This window comes from Homo sapiens, chromosome 1 (genome assembly GCF_000001405.40).
Source record: "Homo sapiens chromosome 1, GRCh38.p14 Primary Assembly".
Taxonomy (NCBI): domain Eukaryota; kingdom Metazoa; phylum Chordata; class Mammalia; order Primates; family Hominidae; genus Homo; species Homo sapiens.
Window position 1 is genome coordinate 186,336,289 of NC_000001.11, and position 19,642 is coordinate 186,355,930.

At 34.3% G+C, this 19,642-nt stretch overlaps 1 protein-coding gene across 1 annotated transcript in view, besides 3 other annotated features; it reads right to left on the reverse strand.

Moving 5' to 3' along the window:
* Window positions 1-19,642, reverse strand: part of TPR (translocated promoter region, nuclear basket protein) — a 63,602-nt gene that overhangs the window by 24,637 nt on the left and 19,323 nt on the right. The window contains exons 16-33 of the mRNA NM_003292.3: window positions 19,347-19,480; window positions 19,122-19,270; window positions 17,400-17,562; window positions 15,688-15,822; window positions 15,042-15,182; window positions 13,935-14,100; window positions 11,004-11,170; window positions 9,847-9,999; window positions 9,292-9,408; window positions 8,087-8,290; window positions 7,618-7,802; window positions 7,038-7,185; window positions 4,964-5,101; window positions 4,740-4,871; window positions 3,354-3,484; window positions 1,745-1,955; window positions 725-868; window positions 208-406 (exon numbers count right to left, since the gene is read on the reverse strand). Of these exons, the coding sequence (NP_003283.2) occupies window positions 208-406; window positions 725-868; window positions 1,745-1,955; window positions 3,354-3,484; window positions 4,740-4,871; window positions 4,964-5,101; window positions 7,038-7,185; window positions 7,618-7,802; window positions 8,087-8,290; window positions 9,292-9,408; window positions 9,847-9,999; window positions 11,004-11,170; window positions 13,935-14,100; window positions 15,042-15,182; window positions 15,688-15,822; window positions 17,400-17,562; window positions 19,122-19,270; window positions 19,347-19,480 (2,817 nt within the window). The remainder of the gene's footprint in view (window positions 1-207; window positions 407-724; window positions 869-1,744; window positions 1,956-3,353; window positions 3,485-4,739; window positions 4,872-4,963; window positions 5,102-7,037; window positions 7,186-7,617; window positions 7,803-8,086; window positions 8,291-9,291; window positions 9,409-9,846; window positions 10,000-11,003; window positions 11,171-13,934; window positions 14,101-15,041; window positions 15,183-15,687; window positions 15,823-17,399; window positions 17,563-19,121; window positions 19,271-19,346; window positions 19,481-19,642) is intronic.
* Window positions 7,228-8,427: an enhancer, noted in NCBI's record as "CDK7 strongly-dependent group 2 enhancer chr1:186312648-186313847 (GRCh37/hg19 assembly coordinates)". NCBI's record gives its function as "activates an origin of replication core promoter dependent on BRD2, BRD4, P300/CBP, MED14 and CDK7 cofactors, with strong dependence on CDK7, by STARR-seq in HCT116 cells {active_cell/tissue: HCT116}" and the evidence as "EXISTENCE:reporter gene assay evidence [ECO:0000049][PMID:35650434]".
* Window positions 17,175-17,375: a silencer, noted in NCBI's record as "peak515 fragment used in MPRA reporter construct". NCBI's record gives its function as "represses an SCP1 promoter by STARR-seq MPRAs in K562 erythroleukemia cells {active_cell/tissue: K562}" and the evidence as "EXISTENCE:reporter gene assay evidence [ECO:0000049][PMID:32103011]".
* Window positions 18,358-19,557: an enhancer, noted in NCBI's record as "BRD4-independent group 4 enhancer chr1:186323778-186324977 (GRCh37/hg19 assembly coordinates)". NCBI's record gives its function as "activates an origin of replication core promoter dependent on BRD2, P300/CBP, MED14 and CDK7 cofactors, and independent of BRD4, by STARR-seq in HCT116 cells {active_cell/tissue: HCT116}" and the evidence as "EXISTENCE:reporter gene assay evidence [ECO:0000049][PMID:35650434]".

Below are 19,642 nucleotides of genomic sequence, written 5' to 3' on the forward strand. Positions count from 1 at the left end.
AATTTCATCATATCAAGGATATCCTCATCACTTGAAAATTAGGATTGCTCTTTGTGTCCAACTAATTATTCCTAATATTTAAAGCACACATACACACACAAACACCCTTCATAAGTAGATACCTTTTATTTCTATTCCATTTAGTTTTAGGCCTGCAACACATAATCAACTTTCACTACCAAGTTCAAACTTTAAACAGATATTTACCAGCTAAGTGTGCAATTTTTGACTTTGCTGCTACAATAGCCTTTCTGGTTTTTTCTTCCTTTTCAGTTATCTGTTGTCGGAGCTGCTCCTCCTGTGTGGTTCTATCTTGAAGATCCTGACGAAGTCGTGAAAGTTCAGACTGAAGTTGCACAGTCTGTTCCTGGAGATTTCTTGCTTCTGTCTCTTTTTCAGATAATGTCTTTAAAGGAAAACAAAGTATTCACCATGGAATTCAATCATTTCAATATAAACTGTATGTGGTAGCAACTTAAAGTATAACTTATTAATTTGCTTTTTAAAAGATTAAATGGAAGTATAAGTATAAAAATGGTGGTCAGACCAACTAAATGCACACTTGAAGATGATTGGGTACTACTTACATACATGAGCCATTCAAAGTAAAAAGAATAAAATGTATCCATTCCCACATGGTAAGACAAAGTGTCAGTAGTTAACACATATTTCTTTAGGTGTATAACAGGAAAGAATTAGGAACAGACTGTTCTCACACTCATACCTTCTGCAGATTCTCTACTTGACTTTCAAGTGATTTTGATTTTGTTTCAGCTTGGTTGAGCGTTTCTTTGAGTTCCTGCATTTCCTGGACTGAAACATGCTGCTCCTGATGGTCTCCAGAGGACTGAGCCGATGTCTCCATAACCTAAGACAACAAACAGTAATAATACACTCACATATTTATATTCAGTAATTCCATTTCTGCAAGTTTGTCTAAGAAAATAATCACAGCTTTGCAAAGAAATTTTATCCCTGAAGGTATTCAAAACAGAATTTTCTATGAAACAACTGTAATCTCCAAAAATGGGGAACTAGTTATGGTTTTCCACATAACTGAATACTAAACAGCTAATCAAAATGATGCATTATAGTTGAATTTTCAACACTTAACTGTATTTTCATGATAATGAATCAAGTGAAAAAAGTATACAAAAGAATATAAGCATATAATATTATTTCTTTGGAAAAACGTCGCTTACATGTATGAAAAGGGATACTAATGTACTAATAGTGGCTAAAACAAAGGGGTATTAATTGTGAATTTTTTTTCTTTATATTTATTTTCTAATCCAACATGAAATAAATACATAATTCTCAACATACAAATTCCTTACCTTCAGGAATTAAAAACAATATTTAGATTCAAAATATAAATATAACAAAGATTTCTGAATTTTTTTGATAGGTGGTTAACATAAACAATTTATTTAAAACTATACAAAACCAGATTAGTCATCATTTTTTAATATACACAATTCTAATTAGCAATGAGTTATAAGAACATAGCTTTGAAAATGGAGAGTATTTGAAAGGTGAAGACTGAACTATCTAGTATTTACCAAAATTTGTGAGTTTATAATGCATTTTCAGACATATTAAAGAACTAATCTTAAATAAAGATATCATATATGCTTACACGATTTCGGTATCTAAAAGCTAGTAATATTCAAAATTACAAAGAAATAAGATTTCATAACATTCATCCTAGTTTTTTTTTGTAAGATAAGTTTCTTCAAAATACCTTATCCTGTTGTGCTTTAAGTTCTTCATATTGAGTCTTGTACCTACGTCCAATTTTCTTAACTTGAGTAATAGTTTTGACTTTTTCTTGGATATCAATTATTTTGGCATCTAAGTCCTTCTGGATGGTTTCCTTTTCAGTTCTTACTTTATTTAGATCTTCCTTCAGACTCTGAATTAAGTTCTGGTTGTTAGTCAAAGATGCATTTGATCTTTAAAAAATGGAGGAAAGAAGAAAGATTAAATATATGAGACATTTTTCAAAGTTTGAAGTCCAATGTAACTTTATGTTATACTGCTTTAATAACTTTTTTTTTTGAAAATCCTAAAAAATACCCATATACTTCAAAGGTAAGACCTTACGAATTTACAGCCCTTCGGCAAGATCTTATTACATAGGTTTACATGCACATTTTAGAGATGAGAAAAACAGAGCTACCAATGGTCAAGTAACATGCGCAATTTTACAAACTAAAATCAAGTGATGGTACCCAGATTTTAATTCAGACTTGCTTTAAGAGCAAAACCTACCCTCTTCCTACTGCACTGAGTATTGTCAAATTTTTTCTGTAAAAGGGCCGGATAGAATGTTATGCTTTGCAAGCCACAAAGTCTTTGCTGTATTTTTCTTAAACAATGCTTTAAAAATATAAAAATCATTCTTAGCTTATAGGCTGTACAAAACCAAATCATGGGCCACATTTGGTCTATGGGCTACAGTTTGCCAACCCCTGTCCTATATCCTGAACTGAACTTGAAATCAGATGGCCTGAATTAAGAGTATGGGTTAATTCTGAACTGAACTTGAAATCAGATGGCCTGAATTAGGTAGTCAATCTTTTTGAATCTTAGGCTCCTCATTTTTAAGATTAAAATATAACTCTCCTACTTAACATGCTAGATGATTGCTATAAAGAGAATGTACGTATATATATCACAAAAATTTGTAAGTTGTAAAGCAATATATAAATGGGACCATGATATGGACAAATTACACTAAAGCTTACAAAAGGTAAACCAGAAACATTAATTTTAATGTTTAATTTCTTAATTTTAAAGGGGCAATACTTTGCTATTAGTTCATGTGAGAAAAAATTAGACTTACAAGCTTCCCTTGGCCAGGCATGATGGCTCATGCCTGTAATCCCAGCACTTAGGGAGGCAGAAGTGGGAGGACAGCTTGAGCCCAGGAGTTTGAGACCAGCCTGGGCAACAGAGGGAAACACTGTTCTCCACAAAAAGGAACACAAAAGCCAAAGTAATAAAACCCACTTCCCTTATAGAGTCACAAATATAAGCTAACCAAAAGAAAAAAAAAACCTCCTTGTAAGTTTTTGATAGCTGTAAATTTAGCTTTAGACTTCTGAGTAGCTCTTTAAAAAATAAAATATAGAGAAATAATTATGAGGATAGTCTCATATATATTTTATATACAAAGGCATAATATTAAATCACTGCTTGACTCTACAAAGTAGATGGAAGTCAGATATAGGTGCTCTAGCACTTTCCATTCTTTCTAAAACCAGGAGGCAGGCACTTGGGGAGTCATGTAAATAAGTAAAATAAACTTCTTTTATATTATATATGATTTAAGGCTTCTTTCCATATACCTTGCAATTTCAGCTTTAAGTCTACCAATTTCTTCTGTCAATTGTTGAATACGCTTAGTATGAACTTCCTTTTCAGAAAGGAGCTTCCGATATTCTTCTGTATCTGGATCTTTCTGTTGACTTACTAGATGCTAGAATAACAAAAATGCATACTTGATTTTTTTAGGTTTTATGAAACAAATGTGCTATAATAAAATGGCAGAATATCTGATTATGTTTATATTAGGTGTCCTGCATGTAAAGTAATCAAGCATGGAACTACAAGATACTAAGATCAAACTAAGCTTTGGCTTGTTTGGCTAAGAAGTCTACCCACAATACAAGAGGAAAAAAAAATAAAATGTCATTAAATGTTCATTATTTTTTCATATTTGTGAATAAACATTTCATATTAGTTACAATGAAGCCAAATAAAGGGATCTGAAGAATCAAAACTTTCAATATTAAGTACCTAATTTCATTGAAGTGACATTTACAAGAAAAAAAATATAGACAATGCATTACAAGTTAAACACACAAACCTTCTGTAGATGCCAGGTAATGTGCTTCACATTTGTTAAATTTTTATCACACGAAAGGTGATAAGGGAAAACTAAAGCTCCAAGAGGTTAAGAAACTCTCCCAAGTCATATAAATAATACATGCAAGGCAGATTTCTAACCTTTTGTTTGAATAAAGGGCTGGAGTTTCGAACCACAGTATGTTACATGGTTTCATCTCCCTAAAAACGTTCCAGTGAACAAGTCTTTTTAAAGTGCTTTAATAAATTCAATAAATTATACAGATTCCTATTTTGCTTTTTTTTTTTGAGACAGGGTCTCCCTCTCTCACCCAGGCTAGCATGCAGTGGCATGATCACAACTCACTGCAGCTTCGACCTCCTGGGCTCAAGTAATCCTCTGACCTCAGCCTCCCAAGTAGATGGGACTACAGGCATGTACCACCACGCCCAGCTAATTTTTAATTTTTTGTAGAGTTGGAGTCTCACTACATTGCCCAGGCTGGTCTCAAACTTCTGGGCTCAAGCAATCCTCCCATCTTGGCTTCCGAAAGTGCTGGGATTACAGGCATGAGCCACCGTGTCTGGCCTCAGATTTCTATTTTCATGTATAAAAATATTTTAGAGATAAAATGAAAGGCTAAAACTTTAAAATTATGGAAAATAACTGCTTTTTAGAAATATATATAATATAACCAAAATTTTTTATAAATTGGGTTATAAGTTTAACATCTGTCACGTATTTACATGTATTAATAACATAATAGACTTTCACTAATAAACACAGTAATTTTCACTAGTTCCTCAAATATTTTTATTCCCCTAAGTTTCCCCTATTATTAAAAACACGTGTTTCCATGTTTTGGAAGAGTTTTAACTGCATTTACCTGGTTACGTGCTTTCCAACGTTTGACATCCTCTTCTAAGAGCTTCTTCTCTGCCTGCAACATACCGCTTTTCTCACTCAGCTCAGCATTTGCTTCTTGTAAGGGTAAAATATCTAACTCCAGTTTCCTCACCTGAAAATCATGCCAATATTTAACAACAAATGTAAAAATTCATTTATTATTAAAAACAACATGCTTCCACTCTTGATAACTAAGCAACAAACCTTTGCTTGCATTTGCTGTAGATCCTGTTCTAGTCTCTCCTTCTCTTCTCTTAGCATTTTATTGGTCTCCATAACTACATTCATTGTTTCAGTTTTCTTCATCAGTTCTTCATGCTGAGCCATTGTTTTTGCAGTTACCTAAACATTTCAAATAAATATACATACCAACATCTAACAATAGTTGAAAGTCTACCTGTTCCTATGAGCTCAAATCCTCCCTATGACAAAATAAAGAGGATTTAAGTTTCAACTTTTAGAACTAAAATTTTTGAAAGTTCACGTTTACTTTTCTGTGAGGCATGCGAACTGCAGACTTTAAACAAATACAAGAATTACAAAGACAAAAGTGAAAAGATGCTACAAATCCCACCAACAAAGTATTAACATTAGGTAAAAACATTAATCCAAATCTCTATTTACCTTTCTGTATCTTTTTTTCCTTGCTGCACTAAATTTATTAGTTCTAAAATGTTATTCTAATCCTCAGTTTATTCCCTCTTGTTCAGAAATCTCTCATTTTGATCCATTGTTTCATCACTTTGGCCATGAGAAATTTTACTGAATTATCTGTGAAGAATTTTTTCCTTCTCATAGGTTATAATTATCCATCTTCTGCACTTGGTATTACTTTCTTCCCCCACTGTTTTTAAAGCTATAGCATATTTCATGGTTGCCATGCTACACTGTTCATGCTTAGACAGACATTACATTACTATTATAATTTTTTTTTTTTTTTGAGACGGAGTCTCGCTCTGTCGCCCAGACTGGAGTCCAGTGGTGTGATCTCGGCTCACTGCAAGCTCCGCCTCCCGGATTTACGCCGTTCTCCTGCCTCAGCCTCCCGAGTAGCTGGGACTACAGGTGCCTGCCACCACCATGCCCAGCTAATTTTTTTGTATTTTTAGTAGAGACGGGGTTTCACCGTGTTAGCCAGGATGGTCTCAATCTCCTAACCTCGTGATCCACCCGCCTCGGCCTCCCAAAGTGCTGGGATTACAGGCATGAGCCACCATGCCCGGCCCATTATATTATTTTTTATATAATCTATGTTACTTGTTGACTCTCTTCTTCCTGTATTTAAGGTTGGTTTCCCCCTATGAACTCATTCGTAGGCGGGCATTTTCTAGTATTTACTTTCTATAGCCCAAAGGAATAAAAAATGAAGCGGAAAAGACTGAAACAATATGCAGTCTTTGTTAGAGACTCTGATTCTGTCCCTTTTCCTCCAAGTATTAACTCTATTGAACTGGAGGCTCTATTATTTCCATGGTGAGATACATTTGAATTAAACAGGATATAATTCTGGAACCTTTAGCTTTTGCTGAACACATAAATCCCATAAAATTCATTATTTACTTTTCCCTGTCCAATGGTTTCTTCTTAACAGTCATTTTGACTACTCATCAGTTAAAAGAAGATAAATGTTTTAAGATCTTAATTTCCTTCCTTCTAGAGGTGGGGGTATATTACTGTAGCTCCTAAGAATGAAGTAACTCAACAATAAGCTTTGGGTGGTAGTGTGGGGTAAGGAGTCAAGCTTGTCTTATTATCATCCATTTCACTACCACAGCTTCTTTTCCTTTGGTTGTTAGTTTTTACTACTTTTTGCTCCTTGGGTGAGAAAGATATTCTGTAGCAGTTTAAATCACTTTATCCTAGAATGACTATCCACACGTATAATCCATAACTATAATAAATTAAGATAGCTGGAATTTATTAAGCACCCACTACATACCAGACATGCTTCTAAATGCTTCATGTGCACAAACTCAATTAAACCTCATTATTATCCAAATATTACAGATGAAGAAACTAAGAGCAGGGAAGTTAAACAATGTACCCAAGGCCACAGCTAATGGTATGAAGCTAGAATCTGAAACCAGGCAGTTTGGTTACAGAGCCTTTACTTTTAAGCACTATACTATATTAGTGTTTAACAAATGCTTAATGAATTTACAAGTTTAGAAGAATGCTTACTTCAAGTTAAATTTTACATTACGTTAAATGGTAGAGATATAAATGAGTGCTTCTCTTTTGATTTAACAAGTGCTTTCTTAAAGCTTAGTATACCTACCTGGACTTTCTCCCTTTCAGCATTTAGACTATCTTGCAGTTCCTGCAGCTCTCTTTCTAAAAGTTCAACCCTTTGTCGATAACGCAGACTCTCAACCTGAGCCACCTCAAACCTAGTTTCAGCAATTTCTTTTTCTCGTCGTATAAATCTACAAAAATACAGATATTAAAATTTTATGTGAATTTTAAAAAGCCAACATTACAAAACGTAGGTAATTTGGTAAGATGACAAAAATCATTGACTTTAATAACTATTACACGTTTTCATTAATAATAAATAATAATGGGAGATGTATTTCTATTTTCTTTTATAGACACTGGCTTTAGAATGTTTATCTCTAAAATGATCTGAAAGGCATTTAGTTTTTCAAGAGAAAACTGCTCTAGTTCTTACTATCAGATTCAACTTTAAAGTCACTTGTTTAATATGTGTAAATGTTAAAAGTTATGAGTTCTTTGACAAATAAAAGAATGAACTTTATATCAAAATCGTGTATAATCTCCTTCTCTAATTTATATATTTGTAGTTTCATTTCATAGTTGTTATACCACAGAAATGAAGCAGTAAGAACATGATTTACCTGAGAATTTCCAAAATTTGTTCTTGAGATTTTCCTTCTTCACTGAGAGATACATTCAGTGGACCTTGTACACCTTCCTTCACAGAGGCAACGACCTTGTCACTTAATTTTTCGATCTGATCATGAAGTAATCTGTTTTGTTTCTCCAGATCTTCACAGCGACATACACATTTGGAAACTTCATCCTGCAAGCCAAGAGTCTATCAGAATAACAGATTTTCCAATGCATATTTAAAAAAAACAACTTGGCCAGGCGCGGTGGCTAACGCCTGTAATCCCGACTACTTGGGAGGCTGAGGCAGGAGAATTGCTTGAACCCAGCAGGTGGAGATTGCAGTGACCCCAATATCACGCCATTGCACTCCAGCATGGGTGACAGAGCGAGGCTCCATCTCAAAACATTATAAAATAAAGAAAAAAACAACTCTTTCAATTCAACAGAACATTCTATTCAGATTTACAATAATACCTTTAACATTCTCTCTCTTTCCTCCCAAGATGCTTTACACTCCAACAACTGTGATTCTGCTTTCTGTGTTGTTTCTTCCAAATGCTGACGGACTGATGCCATTTTTGAAACCTGCTCCTTCGCAGCTTGTAGAGCTTCAACATCAGCAGCATGCAGCATCAATTCTCTCTCATACTTATTCTGAGCTTCCACAGCTATTTTAGCCTATAAGAAATTATTACCCAATTGATACCAAAGATTAAAAATCCATAAAACTAGTTAGCACTTGTCCAAAGATACACATTGGACTTTTTAAATAATAAAAGTAAAGACAATCTAAATGTAGCAAAATAAGAAAATAATTAAAAGTTAATGCTTTAGTTACTTAATATTATAAAACTGTCAGAAATGAAGCTTAGAAGACCAGCAATTTGGACAAACTTTTTGATATAAGAAGCTAAACATAACTCAGCTATATTAAGTACTAAATTATAGATCCATTGATTTTAATGAAATTTACTTTGAAGCATTTCTTCCCTGTATTACATTTTAAAATAGCAATATACACGTCACATATATATAGGCAATAAAGAATAGTAAGCAAATGAATAGCTATTAACATGACACCCAACTTAAAATAAGAACATTACCAATATGCTCAAATGTACTGCTATCCCATCCTACCATTTTAGTAACTCTGAATCCTGAATTGTTTTATCATTTCCTGTTCATAAAAAAATTATAAAAAGCTTCAATACTGTGTGCACATACATACATACACTCAAAATAATGATACTTTTTTAACATTTTATAAATAGTATATAGATATCTGCGCAAACTTGGTAATGCATTAACAATGTTATCAAGAGGTTCTTGTTTTGTTAGCAAAGGTTGCCTCTAATCAACTGTATCTGTAATTTTATAATCAGATCTAGTGAAGGACAATAGTAAAATAATTTTTGCAAATGAGAGCCAAGTACAAATTTTAGTCTCCTAGTCCTGTTTTTATTTTCCCATTGTCAAGATTGCTTTGTTAATGAATATTGCCCTATGTATTTATTTTTAGCCTTCCATCTATACTTTTCAATTTGTCTTGTCTAAGTTCCACAAAAGTGGAAATTATCTTGAATTTTTGTAAGGTCCACCAGTTCTTATAATGCATAAATATACTTCAAGAATCATTCTCTAGGATCGAAGCTCATTTCTCAATAATTGGCTATACTTACTTGTTCCTGACAGTCACGTCTGGCTTGCTGCTCATTACTTAAAGCTGTGCTTGCTCTCTGAAGAGCTTCTTGTACTTCATTCTGAACACTAGAAAGTGTTTTCTTCAATTCAGATAACTAAGCAGAAAGAACAAGATTAAAACCAAAATTAATTGCAAACTTACTTGGAAAATACTGTATTGTAGTGTTACTAAATTGAAGTCTCATTTTTTAAGATCCAATTAGCCCAAAAAACTGCTGCTAAATTTAAAATGTTTACACCCTGATATAATCAGTTTTGCAACTCCATATCCATTCCCTAACATTTGCATAAGTCAAGTCTCAGGTAGGGGCTTTTAAAAAGAACCAGTGATACCTATTTCTGTAAAGTAGTCTAAAAATTTCAACGGGAAATGTATATAGAGGTACAGAAAAGAGTAAAACATAAAACTAAAATTTTGCCTATGTGTTCAATAAATTTCTGTTGAGATGAACTAAATGGCAACTAATGACTTAGTTGAAAGAATTCAAATCCTTACAAGTTAAAAAAAAAATTAATACGGTTAACCTATTTACCTGTTGTTCCATGCTCTCTATGGCTCTTCTTTTATCATCCTGAAGTTCTTGTTTTTCCTTCTCTACTTCCATCAACTTCTTTTCCAACTGTGTCTGAAATTCAGCTGACTCTTTTAAACGAACTTCAATATTCTTACGCACTTCTTCTGTCACCTTTACCATATTACAAACAGTAGGATATAAAAATTACACACATTTAAAGTCATACAATTATTTTCTCCAAATCAAAACTAATTTGAGAAGTAATAAAATTAATGTTTGTTGTATATTAAAAAAAGAATCCATCAAAGGTGATTAGAAGATTCAACAACAAGCAAAAACACCATATAAATCTACAAGCATTTACCATTCATCTTGGCTACTGGCCATTTTTCTCTTTTGAAATGAAATTTCCAATCTCTCATTTCTCCCTCAATCCTCATATCCACTTGCCAAATCCATCTATTCTACAATCGAAAGGTATTTTCCTCACACATTTTGATTTATTTACAATGATGTCAACCACAAAAGGATCTTTTAAAATTGAAGCCCTAGACTATTGCTACAGCCTTCAAAATGAACACGGTATCTTCCAATCTACCACATTAATTTTCTAACCAGAAAAAAGAAAAAAAATCTGATTATGACATGTTAAAAAAATCAATGGCTCTTAATAAACCTACAGAATATAATTTAACATGATATTCAAAACCTTTCACATTTGATTATCAACTACATTTATAACTGTATCCCCTCACTACTCACTTTACAAATTGTCATCTTCTGAAGACTTTCTACCATGGCTGAGGGTTCCCATCACGTAAAATACCTTTCTACTCTATTTCCTATACAGATACCTTCATTCAAGGCTTTGCCTGCACAAATGCCATCTCTCTTGTGAAGGCATGCATACCCAGTAGACAAATAACAATCCCTACCTCTCAGTCTCCTCAACATTTTATCTGGACCATTCCTACAGCAAGGATAACCTCCTTGCTTCATGAATTTTGTGTGTTTTTGTTTTATCTGGCTTATGAGACTCAAGTACTTTCACAAGGTTAAAGGCAATGACCCTGGTCTAATTCATACGAGTGCCTTAAAAAAGCAGTCCTCTAGTTACTAAAAACAAAGTTAACAAATGTGTTGAGATTGAATTCTGAATTCAGAATTATACATACCTGTTTTTCCTTGTTCAGGGATTCTTCTAAACTAGTAACCATTGCTTGATATTGTTCCACATTGCTCGTACTTGTTTTGAGTCTCTCCTTTAAGTCATTCACCTGCTCTTCTGTCTGTCTTAGCTGACTCACAAGATCATCCACATCTTCTTTGTTGCTAGGCTGACCTAAAAGACATAACAGCTCTGTTAAAATTAACATTTTCAATAGTATTAGAGATGACTGTTATAAAGAGCTTATGAAATTAGCATTAAGGTTCAAATACAGATATATTTAGAAAGTATATTTCAATCCATGCCGAATACCAAAATAAAAGCAGGTACTTTGTTATGTTACTTCCTCAAAAACAAAAAAATTCAAATATTAATATTTTAAATCTGTTACAAAAATTAAGAAAAGGATATTCAAAAGAGAACAATCAAATATTTCCACTAAACTGAGTTAGCTATATGAAGAAATGACAGAATTCTTAATTTATTAAATGTTACGGGAAGTCAGGGACCCCGAATGGAGGGAGCAGCTGGAGCCGTGGCAGAGGAACATAAATTGTGACGATTTCATCTTAATATGGACATTTATCAGTTCTCAAATAATACTTTTATAATTTCTTATGCCTGTCTTTAATCTGTTAATCCTATTATCTTCCTAAGTTGAGGATGTATGTCACCTCAAGACCACTGTGATAACTGCTAACTGTACAAATTGGTTGTAAAACATGTGTATTTGAACAATATGAAATCAGTGCACCTTGAAAAAGAACAGAATAATAGCAATTTTTATGGAACAAGGGAAGACAACCATAAGGTCTGACTGTTTGTGGGGTTGGGCAAAAACAGCCATATTTTTCTTGTTGCAGAGGGCCTATAAACGGACGTGCAAGTAGGAGAGATATCGCTAAATTCTTTTCCTAGCAAGGAATATTAATACCCTGGGAAAAGAATGCGTCCCTGGGGGGAGGTCTATGAACAGCCGCTCTGGGAATGTCTGTCTTGTGCAGTTGAGATAAGGACTGAGATAAGCCCTGGTCTCCTGCAGAACCCTCAGGCTTACTAGGGTTGGGAAAACTCAGCCCTGGTAAATTTGTGGTCAGACCGGTTCTCTGCTCTGGAACCCTGTTTTCTGTTGTTTAAGATGTTTATCAAGACAATACATGCAGGGCTGAACACAGACCCTTATCAGTGGTTCTGCTTTTGCCCTTTGCCCTGTGATCTTTGTTAGATCCTTATCAGTGGTTCTGCTTTTGCTCTTTGAAGCATGTGATCTTTGCACCTACTCTCTGTTCTTACACTACCTCCCCTTTTAAAACCCTTAATAAAAACTTGCTGGTCTGAGACTCAGGCCAGCATCACGGTCCTAGATATGTGATGTCACCCCTGGCAGCCCAGCTGTAAAATTCCTCTCTTTGTACTGTCTATTTCTCAGCCAGCCGACACTCATAGAAAATAGAAAGAACCTACACTGAAAGATTGGGGGTGTGTTCTCCCAATAATTAAACATTATTTACTCTAAAACACTAAATCTTAAATCTAAAATTTAGCCCAATTTTTATTGTAAGTACATAAAATAGGCAGAAAACTGTAAATTGGAAAGAATGTTTTATCACATGATATCAATAGGAAAGTATATAATTATCTACTAGATAATTATACACCCATTATTTATATGGATCAGATATTTATGGGTCTGTATATATGGACAGATACAGAGAGATGCTTCTCTACTCCCAGTGGGGTCACATCCCGATAAACTCATCATAATTTGAAACTATCATGAGTTGAAAATGCATTTAATATACCTAACTCACTGAACACCATAGCTTAGCTTATAGCTTAGCCTAGACTACCTTAAATGTGCTCAGAACACTTACATTAGCCTACAGTTGGGAAAAATCATCTAACACAAAGCCTATTTTATAATGAAGTGTTGAGTATTGCATGTAATTTACTGAACAAATACTATACTGAAGTAGTTTCTACTGAATGTGTACTGCTTTTGCACCACAGGTTGAAAAACTGTGTAAATCAGAAAGTCTGCATACAATTATTAGTTATTTATTTCCCTTGTGTTAAGAAATAAAACTGGCTGGGCGCTGTGGCTTACGCCTGTAATCCCAGCACTTTGGGAGGCCGCGGCGGGCAGAGCACAAGGTCAGGAGATCGAGACCATCCTGGCTAACATGGAGAAACCCCATCTCTACTAAAAAAAAAAAATACAAAAAATGAGCTGTGCGTTGTGGCGGCCGCCTGTAGTCCCAGCTACTCGGGAGGCTGAGGCAGGAGAATGGTGTGAACCTGGAAGGCGGAGCTTGCAGTGAGCCGAGATCGCGCCACTGCACTCCAACCTGGGCAACAGTGCGAGACTCTCTCTCAAAAAAAAAAAAAAAAATAAATAAATAAATAAAACCATATAGAAAGATTATCAAGACACAAAGGCTTCGAACTTGAAAGATGTATTTAAAAAGGGAAGCAAAATCTATGAAACAAATCTTTTACCTGAGGCTACCAACGAGCAAATATTGGGAATACTGCTTTAAAGGAGATCACAAATCAACTCATTCTTTAAGAGAAACTTATTCTTGCAGATTTGGTAAGCAACCTTATTTCCAAGGGGCCCGGGTTAAAAAATCAAATAACCCTCTTCAGAAAGAATAATTTTTAAAGTATCAATAAATAGTTTCAAGAATTAGAAAGCTGGGTACATACCTTGATCAAATGCCAAGCTGAACTATTCTGAATCTTTTAAGACAGCAAATTTACTAGTTTAGGCCCAAAATTGAGTACCACTATATAAAGAAAAAGTTGGGTTTTTTTTTGTGTTTGTTTCATTTTACTAGCATTCACAAAGAATTAGGCTATTTACTGACAGGATATATTATAATCCCAAGAAGTACTTGTTTATTTACAATTATATTGGTCTACTTATTTTATTTACCTTTACCAGTTCTCTGTGAAGACTGAGAAGCAACTTGGACTTCCATATTACTGAGGTGCTGTTTCAATGTGGCAATTTCTTTTTGAGCATTTTTTAATAGTTCTTTTGTGTTAAGATGAAGATTTGTCTCTGTATCCAGTTGTCTCTTTGTATCTAAAAGTTGAACCTATAAAATACATTAATCTTATAACATTCTTTAGGTTCCTAAGTAACTAAAGGTTCAAACTATCTTTTTATAGACCTTTGGAGCTCGGCCAAGAGAGTAACAGAAAACAGATTTACCGTCACACCTGAAACAGCCAAAAAAAACCAGACAAAACACATGAAACAACCGAGATCCTGAGACAGAAAACCAAAGAGGTGAACCTTAGATTGCCTTAGTTTACTGATTTAAAAGTTTCCAGGCTATGACACAGGAAAGAGGAAATGAGGCAGAGCCCAGGAGACTCTCTGAATTGAGAACACAGATCTGAGAGTCCAGGGAGACCAAAGTAGCTCAAATTTGTAAGACAGAATATAAGACAGGAGAGTTGCACACACAGAGTACCCTGGAGCTCTACAGAGGGTCCTCCTTAAATATTCATCAGAGTAGCGATCGCTGCAAATATATAAGGAGCTTACCCCAGACAGGGGAAGAATTGTCCAAAGGAATTAAGAGTGAAGAATACCTGTTACTCAAAGAAAGTCAAGAATAATGCCTGTTCTGCAGCCAGACTAAAAAAACCCCACAATTGCAATGGACACTGGCACTAATACTCATGAAAGTATTGGCCTCAGTTCCAGAATGCACACTGCTCTGGGCCCACCTAATACATCATAAAAGGCAAAAGTCAAAAGAATCAAATCATTTTAAATTAACTTTACTGCATCTCAGAATAAAGCTCAAGAAGATTTAAAGGAATACAAAAATACTCAGCACCCAACATGGTAAAACTCACAATATATGGCACCCAATAAAAAAATTACTGGGTATAGAGTGAGGCAAGAAAAACTTAGTAACAAAGTTTTTCAAAATCATGCTTCATCTTGGATGGCAGACTGTCCACACACCAGATTAATTACTGAACATAAACACCCTACAGAAATTCAGAACTCTGATGGACTCACATCTAGATTTCTAGTAAGTGTATGCCTTTGTTCCACCTCATTTTCCAACTTCTTCTTTAGATGAGAGATCTCATGTTCCAGTTTTTCTATCTGGCTACTAAGCCTTTGTTTGGTTTCTGTTTCAGATCGCTCCAGTATTCCCTAAAGCAAAGAAAAGATTTTTGGTTATGCTTAAGAAAAAGGCAATACAAAAAAATAAAAATTGAAGGCAAGAAAGAATTACAATATTACAACCCATTTCTACATGAAGCAGCTAAAATCTACAGTATTTATCAAGAAAGTATTCTGGTATTTTTTATATTAAAACATCTATTATACAGGAAAGAGATGGAATGTATTATAATCGTCATTCAGATTTCCCAAAGTTTTAAAGAAAATAAAAACCAAAGAATTAATCTTATAAATAGTAAAACTGCACAGGACACTGTAAATATACCTGAGGACTTACCAATGTATGGTTTCAATCAATTCTCTTTCAATATTTTATTTAAAATATTTAAATGTCTTAATAAACTGCAAAATTCAATGATCATAATGGATGACAAAAGTGATGGATAAATTTTCTAATTAAGGAAATTGAGAGGATAAAAAAAATCTAAATTTAACTTTTATACATTTTTTCTACATAGGCTTTTTATTTGGTTACCTGAATTGTTTGCAGATTAGTTAGCAGTAAGTTTTGCCCCCTTTGTTCAGCTAACAAAGACTCTCTTTGCTGAGAAAGACGAACTTCAGACAATTTAAGCATTTCCTTTTCCTTCTTCAAATTTTCTGCTCTTACCTAAACATAAGTAGAAATGAAATAAAAAATGCTGAAAAACATGGTGTCAAGTGTATTAAGATTATAAAATTAAAATGATTCATACATCACTACTTTTTTTTAATGCTCTTAGGGACTATATCTCCTCATTGTATAAGGAAATACAAAACAGTTTCATGTGCTAAAATACGAAGCAAAAATTATTGGGGATCATCAATGAAAAAATCTTTCAATTACAAATACTTATGGTTCCTTGCTCTAACAATCCACAGTTTAAAAAATAACAGCAAGAAAAATTTAATATGTGAGAAGAAGAAAGCAGAATTGCATGACTGCTGTAATCATTCATACCTGACTACTATTAAATTATGTAACTTTTAGAATCCAAGCCGGTTTCAAAGTACCTGTTTAAAAGTGATGATTGATCTATTTAAAGTTTCTCCCTCCCCTCAACCCCAAGAGTCTGAGTCTCAAGGGGACCAGGGAGAGTGTTTTGAAAGCTCAAAGTACTCATATTTACACACAAGTACTCATATTTACACACAGATTCATATAAATGATCAATGATAAAATTCACTCTACCAGTTTGAAAAAGTGCTGCTGCCCACTCCTCACAATGGAGTTGGAGCAAGATAAAAATAAAGAATACAGCCTTATAAGAGCATTATAAGACATGGGTTCAAGTCCTAACCAACCCATCTCTCATGACTGTCCCAAAATAGGCAAATTATACATTAGCTCTTGAGTCTGTTTTACACAGGTAAAATGGGGGACAACTATACCTAGCTTACAAGTAATGATCAAAGACAGAAGAGATAACTGAATAACAAAGAAAACTATATAAAAAATTTATCATCACAAAACTAAGTATTTAGTTAAAAGTAATAATTTCAAATGGACATTTATATTCAAGTTAAAATTCAGAAATATAAATTCAATGCAATGTAATTTTTATATTGCTTTTTATTACAGATGAGCAAGAATGAATAACATATTCGTCTGGCCAGGCACTGTGGCTCATGCCTGTAATCCCAGCACTTTGGGAGGCTAAGGCGGGCAAATCACGAGGTCAGTAGATCGAGACCATCCTGGCTAACACAGTGAAACCCCATCTCTACTAAAAATACAAAACATTAGCCAGGTGTGGTGGCGGGCACCTGTAGTCCCAGCTACTCAGGAGGTTGAGGCAGGAGAATGGCGTAAACCCGGGAGGCGGAGCTTGCAGTGAGCCAAGATCGTGCCACTGCACTCCAGCCTGGGCGACAGAGTGAGACTCTGTCTCAAGAAAAAAAAAACCAAAAAAAAAAACGTCTTTGTTAGAACCAAACACTGACCTACAAATTTATTTTGAAATGCAAGACTTGCGAGTATATCTTAGCCCAGCAGAAAAACAAATTCCTTTCCCTCTTCTATCTTAATAGAAACAATCACCCCACTAACGCACACTGGCTATTTGCAAACTATGTATTAATTACTTGGTGTAACCTCCAAACTTCTTAAATACCTAAGTCCTATCAGTGAGTAAAATTCAAAGTAAAAACTAAAGAAATGTCAAATGCAACTTATAATGCAAGTTGGACAAGGGATATTGGACTCACTTCTGCGACAGCTAGCTTCTCATTTGCTCCTCTCAAATCTTGAGTCATCGTATTGATAATCTGTTCTTGCTTTTGAGTTGTGGCAGTGAGTTTCTGATTTCTCTCATGAAGTGATGTTATTTCTCGACGATATCCTTCAACATTATCTTGCAGCATTTCATAACTGGTATGAAAAAAGTAATTCTACAAGTAACTGAAATGATATCCTAGCTTAATCCCTTGAAGAAATTTCACAATAGCTTAACCCATTTCCCCAAATGCCCTGAGAATATTGTCTCTAATCCTAATGTAACATCATACATATTTCTGTTAAGTTGAATTCTGCTTAGAAATAACTCCAGGAACAGTTTTTATATTTTATTTTCACACTGAAAATCTGTCAGATTTGCCTCAACCTCAAACAGCATGCTTATGTAAAATTAAATGAGCGCTGGCAGCAAGCTGCACTTTTTTTTTTCTAAATGGGAAAGGGGTTAATTTTATGATTTATGAAGAAGTGGCTTGTGTAATAAGGTAAAACCTTCATTCTTTTTTCCCAATTCCAAATGTAGTGGTTCAAGTTCTAAGTAAGCAAAGTATTTCATGCTAAGTAACTTTTTAATCTTATTTTTAAAAAATCAATTATATTTAAAGTAATGACAATGCAATATTGATAACACCAGACACCCACTACAATGCAGTATACAAATTAAGTTATTATACAGGGTTAGTGATGGATTTTTGCTAATCCTTTTTTCTTCTATAATCCTCAGTTTTATTTTCTTATGTGCTTGAAAGCTGACATAATGGCTGGCTAGAGGTATCAACAGAGAAAAAAGAAGTGCTTTAATTGGGGTTGCTGAACTATTAGATGTATAGGGGTAACTGCCTGCAATATATCCTGCCTGCTATAAAACAGAAACAGTTTTATCATGTACTATATAAAAATAAATATTGTCCTAACAAACTAAACTAACAAGCATTCAATGAATTTAATAACAAATAATCATGAAATATTTATTATTTCTTTGGATGTGACCAAGAAAATTAATTCTCCTAAAACTACATAGCACTTGCTTCTCTTCTACCTAGAATAGAAAAGGTGGAATAAAATTTGCTCTCATTTCTCTCATCATCTGGTGCATTTTTAAAAGAATTAAGTCCTACCGAAACAAGTCCTTTAATCTTAGGAAGGTAAACTACCAACATTCCTCACATGAACTTCAACTTATTTTTATTTTATTTTATTTTTTTGAGACAGAATCTCACTCTCTTGCCCAGACTGGAGTGCAGTGGCCCCAATCTTGGCTCACCGCAACCACTGCCTCCTGGGCTCAAGTGATTCTCCTGCCTTAGCCTCCTGAGTAGCTGGGATTACAAGCATGCAACACTGCCGCTCAGCTAATTTTTGTATTTTTAGTAGAGATGGGGTTTCACCATGGTGGCCAGGCTGGTCTTGAATTCCTGCCCTCAAATGACCCACCTGCCTCGGCTTCCCAAAGTGCTGGGATTACAGGCGTGAGCTGCTGCGCCTGGCTTCAACTTATCAAACAAGCTAAACCCTTAGCACTGCCTAGAGAATCATTAATCAATATGAAAAAAATGAACTACCAGAGGTTCTCATTCTGGAACACAGTTCACAAAAAAAGCAACACTATTGCAAATTAGCTCTTGAATTTAAATGATTTGAATTGTAAAGTATAACATTTAGACTTAATTAATTTGAAACAAAAGAAAACTTACCGTTTAGAAGCAAAATCTAGCTGGGTAGAAATTTTGGTATTTTGTGATCGCAAATCTGTAACTTGTTCTTGAAGTTTCTCAAGCTGCTCATTTTGTATTTTTTCATTTTCTGCTTTTTCTTTTTTGTAGTTCTCAAAAATTTCCTGCAACTAAATATTGGAGATTATGAGAAGGTAACACTGTGTTCTCTAAAAACCTAACCCAGGACAAAGGTGTGATCTTTACCTGTTTAAGGGCAGCCTTAGCCTCTATAGCCTCTGTTGATTCAATAACAGGTACTGGAGCAGGAGTGGAAACAGTCTGTGATGTACTTGGACGTTTTGGAGTTGATGCAAGAGAAACATCATCTAAGCTTGAAGCTTCAGGAAAGTAAAGACTAATAAAATGCTTTGTTGGCTTTCATAAATCAGCTTTAATCTAATGCTTCTTTGCAAATACACTATTATCAAATAAACAAGCTAAACTTATTGAAATGAAACAATAAGATTATAGGAGTTTTTAAATAAGGAATCTACTAAACA